Below are 15,213 nucleotides of genomic sequence, written 5' to 3' on the forward strand. Positions count from 1 at the left end.
CCGCTCGCGCACCGCGCCACGTGTTTTCTCCTCCCGCCAATGGGCGGAAGCGCCGCCTGAGCCTGCTCCCGCCCCCCAGGCTCGCCTGAGCCAATCGGAAGGGGCGGGGTGTGTGTGTGTCTGTGTGTGTTTGTGTGTTGTGTGTCTGTGAGTGTCTGTGTGTGTGTATGTGTGCGCGAGGGCAAGTCGGGAGGGGGACCCAGCTCAGGACTGGGAGGCCCTGCTCGCAGGTCCCTGGGTCCCGGTGGCGGCCGGAGCGCTTGCTCCGCAGGCAGCGGGCGGGTGGTCGCCCCTCCCGCCCCCACCCCGCGCGTGCGCGCCCCGGCCTCTCCCTCCCCGCCACCCTCCTCGGCTCCCGCGCGGCGGCGGCGGTTCCTCTCCCACTCCCCCCAGCCCTGGCTCCGGGGGACCCCGCGATGCCGGTCCGCACCGAGTGTCCCCCGCCGGCCGGTGCCTCCGCTGCCTCCGCGGCCTCACTCATCCCGCCGCCGCCCATCAACACCCAGCAGCCCGGCGTGGCCACCAGCCTGCTCTACAGCGGCTCCAAGTTCCGCGGCCACCAGAAGAGCAAGGGGAACTCGTACGACGTAGAGGTGGTGCTGCAGGTGAGCGCCGGGCCGGGCCGGGGCCCGAGGGCCTCCTCGCGGCGCTCACGGGCCGTGCCCGCTTCGGCTCCTCGACCCCGCAGCCGCGGAACAGGCCCTCGCCGCCGGGGCCTCCTGCACCCGGCGCTTCCCACCCGGGACCTTCCCAGCCTGTGTCTCACACTCTCCGAGCCCCAGCCCTGACCTGCCCCTTCGGACCCAGAGCCCGTCGTGACCGGCTCCTGGCGGACCCCGAACACTCCCAGACTTGAAGCCCGTGACCGGCCCGTCTGGGATCCGGAAGCCCCTCATGACTCGGAGAAGGCCTGGGTCCTTCCTCCCCATGACCTGTCGTCCCTAGATCAGGGACTGCCACCAGCCCTTTTCAGACCCTGAAGAACTCTCCATTGGTTTCACCAGACTTGGGACCCTCCCCATGTCTGGGCCCACGTCAGATTCTCTCAGACCTGAGACATGTCCTCCTGCCCCTTCCTCAGTTCCAGGAATCCGCAGACCTTGGGGTCTTCCTCCTCCTGAGATCTCCTTAGGAGGGCTTCATCAGACCCCCAGACGGGGGAGCACCTAACCCGCAACTGATTGGTCAGGCCCTGGCCTCACCTCAAGACCAGGCACTCACTCCCTGAGTGCTGCTCACAGTCTGTTGGGATGTTGCCTCCTGGGTCCCCTGTTCCACTCACTGCTTCTGTCTCTTCATGGTCCAGGCACCCAGCTCCTTCCAGCTTCTCCACCCCCAGGCCTCCTGCCCCTGCTCTGGGACCATTTGCAGTCTTTTCCCAGTCTTCCTGGCCTCTATCCAGACTTCCCCACCCCATACCTTCGTCTTGCTCGATCCTGGTTCCAGGGGACCCTCTTTCCTGTTCTTAACTTTTCTCTACACAGGCACAGGGCTTCCTCTTAGTCTCTGGTACCCATGTACTGGGAAATCTAACTCACCCAATTTTAGTTCATGTCCAGTCGCCTCCCCCCATTTGACCTGGATTCCTGAATACCTGCTGCCAGTCCCTGATCAGCTTCGGAAGTACAGCTTCACTTGTCTGGGCCTTTCCCACACCTCACTCCTCTCAGGCTTGACACTTTTTGCCAGCTGAAATGGAGTGGCAGTGGTGAATACTCTTTTATCTCCCCTCCCCACAAAACTCTTCCTCCTCTATACCTACCCCTGCCTGACTAAGGACCCCTTTCCCCTTCCCTTTGCCCTTTTTTTCCTTAGTCTGACACCTCATCTGCCAGGCTGTTCCCAGAAGCCCCTCCAAACACCTGTCCCTCTGAAAGGCACTGTGTGCTGCCCCACTGCCTCCCCCCCGCCCCACCCCCCGGGGTGTGAGGGTGGAATGTACAGTATATTTATTCCTCAAGCTCTCCTTTTGGTCATTTAAAACAAATCTTAGTTTCACTTCTGAAGAGTAGGTCTCCCATCCAAAAGACAATGAGGGTGCCTTTTCTTTCTGCTAACTGCGGAGCACTCATCACTCTTTTATTCTCATACTGCTTTGTGGGAATAAATCATTTTCTCTGCTTACTTGAAACAGCATCGTCATGTTAATCATATCTTTGGGCTGTAAAGTTCTATCATGAGCCACGATAGTTATTATAATGGAAATACGATTGTGGCTGAAATATTTTTGTCTTCATAACTGTATGCCTAATGTAGTGATCCTCTTCTTAAAATGTGAGAGTCGAGTATGAAGGTACAGGGGTTTTTCGGTTTGTTTTGCACCTAGTCATAGAATTCTGGAGGTGAGATCCCTGGGTGGGTCACGTTTGGGATGATCTTGGATTTGTCCCTGTTGTTCAGTTTGATGGTTTCTGATGTAGTAGGGGACAATTGGCAAGATAGCCAGGCGTCAAAGGGGAGTCTGCTTTGGCTACTGCAGCAACTGCTGCTCCCTTCTGTCATTAGGGTATCACTTCTGAGCTCCTTTCAGAAGGAGAATCATGAACCAGGGGAAGCAGTGGTTGAGTTGGGGCAGGGCTGATAGGTCTCAGGCAGCCCAGAGCAGAAACCTGGTGGATGGCTGGGAGCCACTTGAGTAAGATGTCTGATGGTGGGGGTGGTGGTCATGCCAATGAATGCTGCCCTACATCTGGATTGGTGAGCTGCTTGGTCATCATCACGACTAGTCAGTGGCATGTGAATTGCCCCATCATCTGGTTTTTCAGCCAGGACTAGTTTGTCAGACACAGCCTTCTTAGACTTAAAATACTTCTGCCTTTTATAACTCAGCTTCTTTTTGTTTGTTTTGTTTTGTTTTCTTTCTTTCTTTTTGTATCTTTATTTAGATAGAATTCACTTATTTAAGGTGTACAATTCAATAGTTTTTAGTATATTCACAGTTGTTTAACCACCACCACAACCTAATTTTAGAATATTTTCATCACCCCAAAAGGAAACCTTGTATGTAACCCTTAGCCATAACCCCCACTCCAATCCTAGGCAACTGCTCATCTATTTTTGTTGTTGTTTGTCTATTCTGGACATTTCATATAATCACATAGTATTTGTCCTTTTGAGATTGGCTTCCTTCACTTAGCATAATGTCCTCAAGGTTCATCCATATGGTAATATGTATCAGCACTTATATTCCTTTTTATTTTGCATTGTTCATTGTAACAATTGTCCATTGAATGGATATACAACATTTTGTTTATACAGTGATCAGTTGATGGACATTTGGGTTGTTTCCACTTCTGGCTACTATGAATAATACTGCTATGAACATTTATGTACAAGTTTTTATGTGGATGTATATTTCACTTTGGTAGATAACTACCTGGGAGTGCAATTGCTGGGTCACATGGTAACTGGGTTTTAACATTTTGAGAAACTGGCCCTGCATTGTTTTACATTTCCACCAGCAGTGGGTGAGGGTTCCAGTTTCTCCACATCCCCGCCAACACTCACTGTTCATCTTTTTTGTTGTAGCCATCCTAGTGTTTTTGAAGTGGTCTCTCACTGTAGTCTTGATTTGAATTTCTATAATGACTGTGCTGTTGTGCATCTTTTCTTGTGTTTTTGTTGTTGTTGTTGTTTTGGAGTACTTTCTTTTCTGTGATTCTAGTGTAAAGAGTTCCTCAAACCTTTGTGAGTTTCTGACTGGGTCTCCTCTCCACCCCGCACTTACTGTGACTCCTCTTTCCTCCTCTGCCATCTAAGAAGCCAGCAGTAGAAGGGAGCCCTGGTCGCTGTGAAAGGAATATTTAAAAGAACAGCCGTTGGACACAGCTGTGCTGTGACACCTTCTTGCTAAACACGTGCCCTGTTATCTTTCTTGAGATGCTCGCCTGCCGTTTGGTAAAAGCTGTATGCGTTGTGGTGTATTTGAGTTCACCAACCATTATCAAGATCAATTTGGGCAGAGTAGAGAGACGCTTGGTTGAATGGAGGCCAAGCTGAAATTCTGATTCTTGAGCATGTGATAATCCATGCAAAATGTTAGCCAATTTACATTTCAATTTTTAATCTTATTAGCAAGTATCCTTGCCACCTGATACACTTTTCAGCAGCTGTGAAACTCCAAACTATATTGAATTCAATGAGAATTGCATACATGAAATTTAAAGACTCAGGTTAGAATTATGTGTCCTTTAATAAAAGTTCTTTGCTGAACCATGTTAGCGTGGATTAGCTGTTTTAGATAATGTCCAGTGCCAAGGTCAGCAGATGAGGATATTTAAAATGCTTTGGCAGTTTTCACAGGGAATACCTTTGTCACCAGCACCAAACTGTGAAGGCACTTTGGCTTCATTGAAGTTCATTTGCTTTGGTGCTGACATCATCTGGTTGACTAAGTTCATTACAGTTTTTAAGCATGGCTTAGTATTTGATTTATGGTATAATTGGAAGTAATCAGGTTCACAAATCTGATAAATGCCACAAAACTATTCTAATTTCTTGAAATAAGACCTCACTTAACATTAAAATCTCAGTGTACCACAGGTACCCTTGTACTTGGTTTGCTTTAATTCAAGGATTTACCTTGTAAGTGAATCCAATTGTCATGAAATCTGAAACTCCCTATTCAGAATGAGTCTGTATAGATTTGGGTGAAATCTCACATCAGGAGGATTTTTGAGGTGACGTGGCTTCAGGTTGGTTAATTCAGAGGCCTACGATGGGCCCAGTTTTTTCCATCTTTCTAACTACCATCCTCAGCATTTCCTGGCCTGTTTCTCCCCTGTGGTCTAGATGTCTCCCCCAGGACTGGACACTCCATGCGGATACTGTCACCACTAGGGGACAAAAAAGCCATTTCTTCCTCATGCGCCTCTTCAAAAGCCAGGGATTTTTCACAGATGCACTCAGGAGACTTACACATCTGATGAGCCAGAAATGGGTCACTCACCCCTAAATACATGACTTGCAAGGGGATAGGGACACCTGTGTGCCTTAGATCCATCAGGTTGACCAAGTCTTACGTGGTAGGTAGGTACCAGAGCAAAAACTGGACCCTGCCAGCGTGAAAAAGGAGGAAATTGTTTGTTGGGTAGGCATCCGGCAGTGTCTCAGCAACCAGTAATTGGTGACTGCTAAACCTCAAAGTCTACTATGCCTGTTATTTCTATTTATTTTAGGCTCCTGACTCTTTTCATTAAGAAACACAGCATCCATATATAAAATGCACAGAGTGAACATTCACAATATAGTCAGACTTTTGGTTGGCATTTTGGTTCATAACTGAAGTTTATACCACATAAATCTTTATAAGATGCCATTTCTGAACAGTCTGCCCATTTCATAAAGAGATAATGCAGGATGATGTTTAGTGTAAAAACTAGAAGAGGAGCAGACCTCCTAGACCAATGATTGAGCAATACAGAAATAGAAAAAGGCTTGAAAGACATTAGAAAGAAAGTCAAGCCTGAGGTTAGGGATGACACCACGTGTACAGGCAGAGACAGAGGCCCTGTGCCCAGCAATGCTCAAGGTCTCTAGATGACCGGGAGACGTGTGTTGAAGATAGTACAGAAAATGAATTTGAGTGGGCACCCCATTTCAGAAAGACACTTCAGTCTCATGATATTCAGCTGAAGAAAGTTGAGAGGGTCTTGGGATCAGTTTGCTTTGGCAGAACAGGCATGTGTGTGGGGAGAACTTATCAAGATTCCAGAGACTGGGTGAGCCTTGGACTGCCCTGGGTGTTCACTGACCACCAGTCTGGCCTCACAGGATTTGCAGAGTACCCTCCTGCATGTCCCCTAGTAAGTTTATCTATTTGTGACAGGCTGTGTATCCTTTCTTTTCAGCACGTGGACACGGGGAACTCTTACCTTTGTGGGTACTTGAAGATTAAAGGCCTTACTGAGGTAAGCACTTGCTCACACAAACCAGCACTAGAAAGTCTGTGGTGTGCTCCACAGGCTCATTGGGGTTCAGGGCAGGCGGTCTCAACTCCTTGAGGCCTAATTAAAGCAGACTACTCCTGAGCATTGCTACTGTATAGGGAACATAAAACAGGCAGTTTCAGTGTGTCCTGTTGAGAAGTGTACAGATTCACAAATGTTTTAAAGAAAAGTTTATAAGTACATCATAATTGTCACAACCAACACTATTGATTTTATTTTTAATCCTTTTTGGGGGAAAAAATAATAAGAATATAGCTGCCACCCTCATCATAAGTTTAACAGTTTCTGAGATAAGCATCAGTCCTATAAAAAATGAGCTTTTAAGTTCTTTAAGCCTCTTAGTTAATTGGAACAATGAAAAGTTACTGACTGGTCGCGGTGGCTCATGCCTGTAATCGCAACACTTTGGGAGCCTGAGGTGTGCAGATCACTTGAGGTAGGGAGACCAGCCTGGCCAACATGGTGAAACCCCATCTCTACTAAACATAAAAAAAAAAAATTAGCCGGGCATGGTGGCACAGACCTGTAGTTCCAGGTACTTGGGAGTCTGAGGCACAGAGAATCACTTGAACCAGAGAGGCAGAGGTTGCAGTGAGCCAAGATCACCATGCACTCCAACCTGGGCAACAGAGCAAGACCCTGTCTCAAAAAAAAAAAAAAAGAAAGAAAAAAAAGGGGAAGTGACCATCTAGTTTCCAGCAGAAGTACCTGCTGTGCAGAGTATTTTATTTTCTTTGAACCAAGTTTTTAAACCTCAGAACTCCTGGGACTTTAGAAAGCAAGGAGGAGCATCCTTTCTTTTCCATTAGCAAGGAAACAGGAAGTGGAAGGAGGTAGCTGGACTGGCCCTCCGAATGCTGGGAATGCCCAGGCTGGACCTAGCTGCAGGGGGCCTCTGGCCTTTGTCAGCTCTCATGGTCTGATGATCCAGCAGTATTTGGACAGAGTGCTGTGCTGGATGGGGCAGTGGAAAGGAGCTGGGGTGGCATTCTTCTTCTGCCCCTTCCTGCATCTGTGACCTTTAACTTCTTTCAGTGTCCTCATCTGCGAAGTTGAGAATTAAAAATTCCTGCTCCAGGCTGGGTGCTGTGGCTCACACCTGTAATCCCAACATTTTGGGAGGTCAAAGCAGGAGGATCACTTGGGGCCAGGAATTCAAGACCAGCCTGGACAGCATAGCAAGACCTTGTCGCTACAAATAATTTTTAATAAATTAGCCAGGCATGGTGTTGTGTGCCTGTAGTCCTAGCTACTCAGAAGACTGAGGCTGGAGTATCGCTTGAGGCTAGGATTTGAAGGCAGCAATGTGCTGTGATCATGCCTGTGAATAGCCACTGCACTCCAGCCTGGGCAACCTAGGAAGATCCTCTCTCTTTAAAAAAAAAAAAAATTGGGGTCGGGCGTGGTGGCTCACACCTGTAATCCCAGCACTTTGGGAGGCTGAGGTGGATGGATCACCTGAGGTCAGGAGTTCAAGACCAGCCTGGTCAACATGGTGAAACCCCATCTTTACTAAAAATATAAAAATTAGCTGGGCATGTTGGCAGGCACCTGTAATTCCAGCTACTCAGGAGGCTGAGGCAGGAGGATCGCTTGAACCCGGGAGGCGGAGGTTGCAGTGAGCCAAGATTGCACCATTGCGCTCCAGCCTGAGCAACAAGAGCGAAACTTTGTCTCAAAAAAAAAAAAAAAAAAAAAAATCCCTGCTCTGTCTAAGACAATCAGTGGACTTGTTCTGGGGGTAAGGAAAGAATGTTAGAGAAAATGACAGACTCAAATATGGTACTAATATGTGATTCTCTTGTAAAGTCCTGATGAGCCTCAGTCTTAAGACAAGTTTCTGGCTCCTGGTTCCTATCTGCTTTTCTATTAGAAGCTTAACTGATTAAGGATCTCCTATGAAGTTTGTTGTTGAGACCAAAGGTATTTCTTCTTTAACTCGAGAATTGTATCAAATCAAGTAGGAGTAGAAGTGATAGCAAAATACAGGATTCCAGCCTTTGGGTTTGTGGTAGGAGAAAAGATACTAAAACAGAATATGCTCAACTCTCAGGTAGCCAAATACATTAGTTAACTGGGTGCAGAACATAAACACTGAATTTCATAAGGAAACCAGCAAGTGTGTAAGGCATTGGAATGTTAACGCTGACTCCAAAACCAGTCATTTGGGTGATAACAAGCTGCACAGAAATGGTAAGTAGCATTCGAAATCTTGAAGAAGTATACAGAAATGCTAATGGCATTGAGCTCTCCATCGGGAACAAGTAGCCCTTCCTTTAGGAAGCCCCCGTGAGTCGAGAGCAGCAGTCAGGCTCCTTTGAGGAGGGGGCACTGACAATGGCCCTTCAATGGGGGCTAACCCAAGGGGAGCCCTAGGCTCTTAACAGAACCTCTGCAGATGGCGTGGCCTCGATGAGCACATACCCTCCCCAGAGTTGCCTGTTCCTGGTCCAGCAATAAATAGACCACGTTATGCTGCTGCAGGGGTGTTGCGTTAAAGCAAGTCCTGCTCAGGCCTTAGATGTAGAAGAATTCTTTTTAAATAATGTTTTTTAGTAGCTTTATTGAGATAATTCACATACCATACATTTCACCCATTTGAAGTATACAGTTCATTGGTTTTTAGTGTATTCACAAAGTTGTGCAACTATGTGATAACTTTTTTTTTTTTTTGAGATGGAGTCTCGCTCAGTCACCCAGGCTGGAGTGCAGTGGTGCAATCTCGGCTCACTGCAAGCTCCGCCTCCTGGGTTCACGCCATTCTCCTGCCTCAGCCTCCCGAGTAGCTGGGACTACAGGTGCCCGCCACCACACCCGGCTAATTTTTTTGTATTTTTAGTAGAGATGGGGTTTCACCGTGTTAGCCAGGATGGTCTCGATCTCCTGACCTCATGATCCGCCTGTCTCGGCCTCCCATAGCGCTGGGATTACATGTGTGAGCCACCACGCCTGGCCGATAACTTTTTTTTTTTGAGACAGAGTCTCAGTCACCCAGGCTGGAGTGCAGTGGTGTGATCTCACCTTACCACAACCTCTGCCTCCCAAGTTCAAGCGATTCTCCTGCCTCAGCCTCCCGAGTAGCTGGGATTACAGGCGTGCGCCACCCTGCCCAACTAACTTTTATTTTTAGTAGAGACAGGGTTTCGCCATGTTGGCCAGACTGGTCTCGAACTCCTGACCTCAAATGTCCACCCTCCTTGGCCTCCCAAAGTGTTGGGATTACAGGCGTGAGCCAACGCACCCAGCCTGATAACTTTTAAAATTATAAGTCTAGTATATGGTTGCCGTAGATAATAGTAAAATGCAGAAAACTACAATGAATCTTTGAATAAATTTTGTACCTGTATTTGGGTTTTTTTTCTTTTCCATTTATGTTTGTTAAAATATCAATTTTTTATTTTTATTTTTTGTTTTTGAGGAAGAGTCTTGCTCTGTCACCCGGGCTGGAGTGCAGTTGTGTGATCTCAGCTCACTGCAACTTCCACCTCCCAGGTTCAAGCAATTCCCATGCCTCAGCCTCCCGAGTAGCTGGAATTACAGGCATGTGCCACCACACCTGGCTAATTTTTATATTTTTAGTAGAAATGGGGTTTTACCATGTTGGCCAGGCTGGTCTTGAACTCCTGACCTCAGATGAACCACCCACCTTGGCCTCCCAAAGTGCTGGGACTACAAGCATGAGCCACCGTGCCTGGCAAAAATATCAAATTTTTAATTTATTTTAATTAAACTATAATTTGGGTTTTAGTCATAGTAGTTGCCTTCCTCACGTATACAGTATGGAAAAGTATCTACTAAAATGGAGATAGGCCAGGCACAGTGGCTCATGCCTGTAATCCCAGCACTTTGGGAGGCTGAGGCAGCTGGATCGCCTGAGGTCAGGAGTTTGAGACCAGCTTGGACAACATGGTGAAACCCCATCTCTACTAAAAATACAAAAATTAGCTGGACATGGTGGCGGGCACCTGTAATCCCAGCTACTCAGGAGGCTGAGGCAAGAGAATCGCTTGAACCCAGGAGGCAGAGTTTGTGGTGAGTTCAGATCATGCCACTGGACTCCAACCTCGGCAACAGAGTGAGACTTCGTGTCAAAAAAAAAAAAAAAAGGAGATAAGTGTCAAAAAAAAAAAAAAGGAGCTAAATGGCCTCTTAGCTACCTCACATTCACAAACAAGCACAGCTTTTTTGTTTGTTTGTTTTAATTTTTATTTTAGGCTTGGGTGTACATGCGCAGGTTTGATCTATAGATAAACTTATGTCACGGTTTACCTATGTAACTGTTGTGGAGATTATTTTGTCACCCAGGTATTAAGCCTAGTACTGAATAGTTATTTCTTCTGCTCCTCTCCCTTCTCCTACCCTCTACCCTCAAGTAGGCCCCATTGTCTGTTCTTCCCTTCTTTTTTTTTTTGAGATGAAGTCTCGCTCTGTTGCCCAGGCTTGAGTGCAGTGGTGCAATATCTGCTCACTGCAACCTCTGCCTCCCAGGTTCAAGCAGTTCTCCTGCTCAGCTTCCCAGGTAGCATGTACCACCACACCAGGCTAAATTTTTTTTTGTACTTTTGGTAGAGATGGGGTTTCACCATGTTGGCTAGGCTGGTCTTGAACTCTTGACCTCAGGTGATTTGCCTGCCTCAGCCTCCCAAAGTGCTGGGATTACAGGCTTGAGCCTATTGTTTCCTTCTTTGAGCCCATGAGTTCTCATCATTTAGCTCCTACTTATAAGGGCAGTATTTGGTTTTCTGTTCCTGCATTAGTTTGCTAAGGATAACGGCCTCTAGCTCTACCCGTGTTCACGCAAAAGACATGATCTCATTTCTTTTTATGGCTTCATAGTATTCCTTGGTGTATATATACCACGTTTTCTTTATCCAATCTGTCATTGATGGGCATTTAGGTTGACCCACTTTTTACTATTGTGAATAGTGCTACAGTGAACATTTGCATGCATGTATCTTTATAGTAGAATGATTTATACTCCTCTGGGTGTATACCCAATAATGGGATTGCTGGGTCGAATGATAGTTCTGTTTTTAACTCTTTGAGGAATTGCCACATTGCAAAACGGAGCTTTAAAGTTTGTTTTCATGCCTTCTGGAAGTGAAATTCTAGAAATGTAAAGAATAAATATGAAATAACATTCTTTTTGCACTTTTGAGCCATCCGTCAGTCAAGAGAGGCGACCTTTCCGGGGAACCCAGCAGCTTTCAGGGGTTACCTGGGAGCCCAGCCTTTGGGGGCCATGGGCAGGCCCCCCACTTACTCATTACTTGGGTTTGGAAGGGTTGGAAGCTCCAGCTGAAGTTGTGCTAGACTTGTGCTTAACTAGGGAGACAGGTCACACCTACCAAAACTCACAAAAACAAAAGTGCCAGTTTTTGTCAGAGAATGAGATTCCTGTATGTTCCAGAAGTTCCTGTTGACTTATTGGCCAATTGAATGTTAATCCTCCAGAAGACAGGTCTACATGGAAAGTCGTGGTACCTATCACCACACAGTTTTGGGTGAGCCTGGAATCAGTGGGAGGATTAGTTGGGGGACTTAAATGTCTGACAACAGCCAGACCCACCAAGGGATGCCCACTCCTGCTTTTGCTGCCTCTGTTATTCATTTCTCGATATCCTTTCTTCTGACATGGTTTTTCGTCCGCTCTATAAATTACCCCTCATTGGGCTGTAATAAAGTGCTTGAATTTCCTGTTCCTGCTCTGAGAATATTTTATCTTTTCAGTGACTTCTGTACACACTGAATCTCATTTATTAGGTATTTATTTTATTTAATTCTCAAAGTTTGAGGGTACCCTGTAGTTACCCTGATATACTGCCTAAAGTATGTTTACAAAGAAGTCAATGCAGAATTATTCATTAAGAAAACTAGTGATTTAAACCATAAGTGTTTTAATCATATTAGGACCTCCTCCCCACCCCTCCCTTTTTTAAAAATAGAGACCGGGTCTTACTATGTTGCCCAAGCTGATCTTGATCTCCTAGGCTCAAGTGATCCTCCTGTCTTGGCCCCCTAGAGTGCTGGCATTACAGGTGTGAGCCACCAGGCTTGGCCTTGTATTAAAACCTCTTTATCATTTCATCCTATCCCTTTCAAGGAAGTTCAGAAAAAAGATTAAAGCTTGAAACTCGGAAAAATAATATAAACAGTTTGTAGTTGGCTGATGCCTGTAATCCCAGCACTTTGGGAGGCCGAGGCAGGTGGATCACGAGGTTAGGAGTTCAAGACCAGCCTGGCCAAGATGGTGAAACCCGTCTCTACTGAAAATACAAAAATTAGCCACACGTGGTGGTGGATACCTGTAATCCCAGCTACTCGGGAGGCTGAGACAGAGAATTGCTTGAACCCGGGAGGCGGAGGTTGCAGTGAGCCAAGGTTGTACCACTGCACACCAGCCTGGGCGACAGAGCGAGACTCCATCTCAAAAAAAAAAAAAATAGCTTCTAGTTTAAAATCTCAAATGCAGGTGCTGATTTATTGAGAACTTTTTTCCTTAGTAGTCTTTCCTAGAACAGATTATAATTAAAAGTTAGTTTATACCGGCTGGGTGCGGTGGCTCACGCCTGTAATCCCAGCACTTTGGGAGGCCGAGGCGGGTGGATCATGAGGTCAGGAGATCAAGACCGTCCTGGCTAACACCATGAAACCCTGTCTCTACTAAAAATACAAAAAATTAGACAGGCGTGGTGGCATGCATCTGTAATCCCAGCTACTTGGGAGGCTGAGGCAGGAGAATCACCTGAACCCGGGAGGCAGAGGTTGCAGTGAGCCGAGATCGTGCCACTGCATTCCGGTCTGGGCGACAGAGCAAGACTCTGTCCCTCCCCCCAAAAAAAAAAAAAAAAGTTAGCTTATACCTTAAAAATTAGGTTTACATTTAGGAAAATTTCTCCTCTCTCATTTTTTCAGTCTATGTATTTAAATATTTATGTGAAGAATCCAGCAACAGTGTTAGGATAGGGGGGTTGTGGGTTTGGGGCAGTATTAGATTTATCATATTTTAAGTTCACTGTTAAGGAAACAGATCCCCTCCATGGTGTCATCCTAAAGCAGGCCTCCTGAGCCACCTGCAGCGGTGGTGACGTTCTGTTTCCTGGGAGCCTCTGCACCAGTGGCTTTTACTGTGGCAGCCTCTCTCAGGAAGGTCCTACACTACATGCAGGCCAGGTTGGTAGATGTGGCAAAGCCATCAGAATGAGGTTTTTGATGCAGAATAAGAGGGGCTTACATCTGATCTGAAGGAAAAACGTGGGCCTTCTGCAGTCCTTGATGTTAGGACTGTAATCTGTGGTTTTCCAGGCCAGTGACTCTCATAACCATGCTCCTGGCAGACACCAGGGGCTTGGCAAGGTAGCCTGAGAGGTGGGTGCTTGGTTGGTTTCTACAAATGCAGAGAAATGTAGACTTTTTACGGTGTTAACTTTTTGTCTTATTAATCTTTTTTAAAATCATTGGTGCCTACTTATTAACACATGAACAAAGAGCAATTAACAAAGCACCCAAGCCAGCACATGGCTTCTTGCTTACGTTTTCCACGGTGTGGTTTTTACATTCAGACATGATTTACATATGTTTTTCCTCATATAAATTGTTTTTAGTTCATATGTTTTTCCTCATATAAGTTGTTCTTAGTTCATGTGACAGAATTAAACGTATCCCTATGTATCAAGGTATTCTAAGACTACCTTCAGGGACCATTTGTATAGTTCATTACTAGAAGTTTCTCTGAACATGTAGAACACTGAAAAAAGTATTTACTTTTTTTTTTTTTTTTTTTTTTTGAGACAGAGTTTCACTCTTATTGCCCAGGCTGGAGTGCAATGGCGTGATCTCGGCTTACTGCAAACTCCGCCTCCAGGTTCAAGCAATCTCCTGCCTCAGCCTCCCGAGTAGGTGGGATTACAGGCATGCGCCACCACGCCCGGCTAATTTTGTATTTTTAGTAGAGATGAGGTTTCTCCATGTTGGTCAGGTTGGTCTTGAACTCCTGACCTCAGGTGATCCTCCCACCTCGGCCTCCCAAAGTGCTGGGATTACAGGCGTGAGCCACCATGCCTGGCCAAAATAAAAGGTATTTTAGGCTGGGTGCGGTGGCTCACACCTGTAATCCTCGCACTTTGGGAGGCCAAGGCGGGTGGATCACCTGAGGTCAGGAGTTCGAGACCAGCCTGGCCAACATGGCGAAACCCCGTCTCTACTAAAAATACAAACATTAGGTGGGCGTGGTGGCAGCCAACTGTAATCCCAACTACTCGGGAGGCTGAGGTAGGAGAATCACATAAACCCAGGGTGTGGGAGGAGGTTGCAGTGAACCGAAATTGTGCCATTGCACTCCAGCCTGGGCGACAGAGCAAGACTCTGTCTCAGGAAAAATAAAAAAGTATTCTACCCCAGAATCCACCCTGGAACCTTGGAGAATTGGTGTAAAAGGGACAAATGACTGAGCCAGTTGGAGAACCAGTGGCTTGAGGGAGCCTTAGTGGTAGACACAGTGATTTTGGAGCCTCTTTGGGTCTAACCTTGGAAAGTAAAATCTACCAAGTTATGATCTGCTTTGTATGCTAGAATATTAAAAATTTATTTGTGGAAACATCCAAATTATTTTCTAAGAGACTAGCATGTAACAATTGAAGTCAAAGAAGGGCTGTCTGCTGCTGGCAAAATCCAGGAAACCCTTCATTCTCTGGGTGATTTAGATTCAGGTCCATTGCCACAGCCTGTTGGCAAACTGGCTGCGATCTAACTCTGGTTTGGATTGTCAGGTAGCAGTGTCTAGGTACTGGAAAGAAGTTAAAGCAAAGTTTATTTTTCCTTTGTACAAAGGTTAAAAACTCTCACTCAACATCTTATTTTGATATTTGGGTTTTTACCATAGGAGTATCCAACCCTTACAACCTTCTTCGAAGGAGAAATAATCAGCAAAAAACACCCTTTCTTAACTCGCAAGTGGGATGCAGATGAAGATGTTGATCGGAAACACTGGGTGAGTAAATCTGATCTGTGCTGGGTCATCTAGGGGCTGCTAGAGAATTGAAGAAATGCTGGGAGCCAGAGACCTTGTCCCTTATTGAGGATTACTGGGGCTTTGCAACCAAGTAAAAGGTTGCACTGCACACAGACCTCAGTTGTTCCATCTTCCTTATGAGGACAGTTTAAATACGATCTGACCTGCTGCTTAAATAGCAAATGGTTGTCTGATGATAGCAACCCCAGAGTTCCAGCCAGAACTCTGCTCAGCTATCAGAATCTTAACAGTGTC

At 46.2% G+C, this 15,213-nt stretch overlaps 1 protein-coding gene across 4 annotated transcripts in view, besides 3 other annotated features; it reads left to right on the top strand.

The window, feature by feature from the left end:
- Positions 20-109: a silencer, noted in NCBI's record as "silent region_8264". NCBI's record gives its function as "represses an Ori minimal core promoter by ATAC-STARR-seq in GM12878 lymphoblastoid cells {active_cell/tissue: GM12878}" and the evidence as "EXISTENCE:reporter gene assay evidence [ECO:0000049][PMID:35858748]".
- GID4 (GID complex subunit 4 homolog) overlaps positions 111-15,213 on the top strand; it is a 28,998-nt gene continuing 13,895 nt past the window's right edge. For all 4 annotated transcript variants that reach the window (NM_024052.5, XM_005256800.2, XM_011524008.2 and 1 more), the window contains exons 1-3: positions 111-605; positions 5,850-5,909; positions 14,830-14,937. In NM_024052.5, coding sequence (NP_076957.3) covers positions 168-605; positions 5,850-5,909; positions 14,830-14,937 — 606 coding nt within the window. In that variant the 5' untranslated portion in view covers positions 111-167. The remainder of the gene's footprint in view (positions 606-5,849; positions 5,910-14,829; positions 14,938-15,213) is intronic.
- Positions 120-709: a silencer, noted in NCBI's record as "silent region_8265". NCBI's record gives its function as "represses an Ori minimal core promoter by ATAC-STARR-seq in GM12878 lymphoblastoid cells {active_cell/tissue: GM12878}" and the evidence as "EXISTENCE:reporter gene assay evidence [ECO:0000049][PMID:35858748]".
- Positions 1,060-1,119: an enhancer, noted in NCBI's record as "active region_11823". NCBI's record gives its function as "activates an Ori minimal core promoter by ATAC-STARR-seq in GM12878 lymphoblastoid cells {active_cell/tissue: GM12878}" and the evidence as "EXISTENCE:reporter gene assay evidence [ECO:0000049][PMID:35858748]".

The sequence above is a fragment of the Homo sapiens genome, chromosome 17, assembly GCF_000001405.40.
Source record: "Homo sapiens chromosome 17, GRCh38.p14 Primary Assembly".
Lineage (NCBI taxonomy): Eukaryota > Metazoa > Chordata > Mammalia > Primates > Hominidae > Homo > Homo sapiens.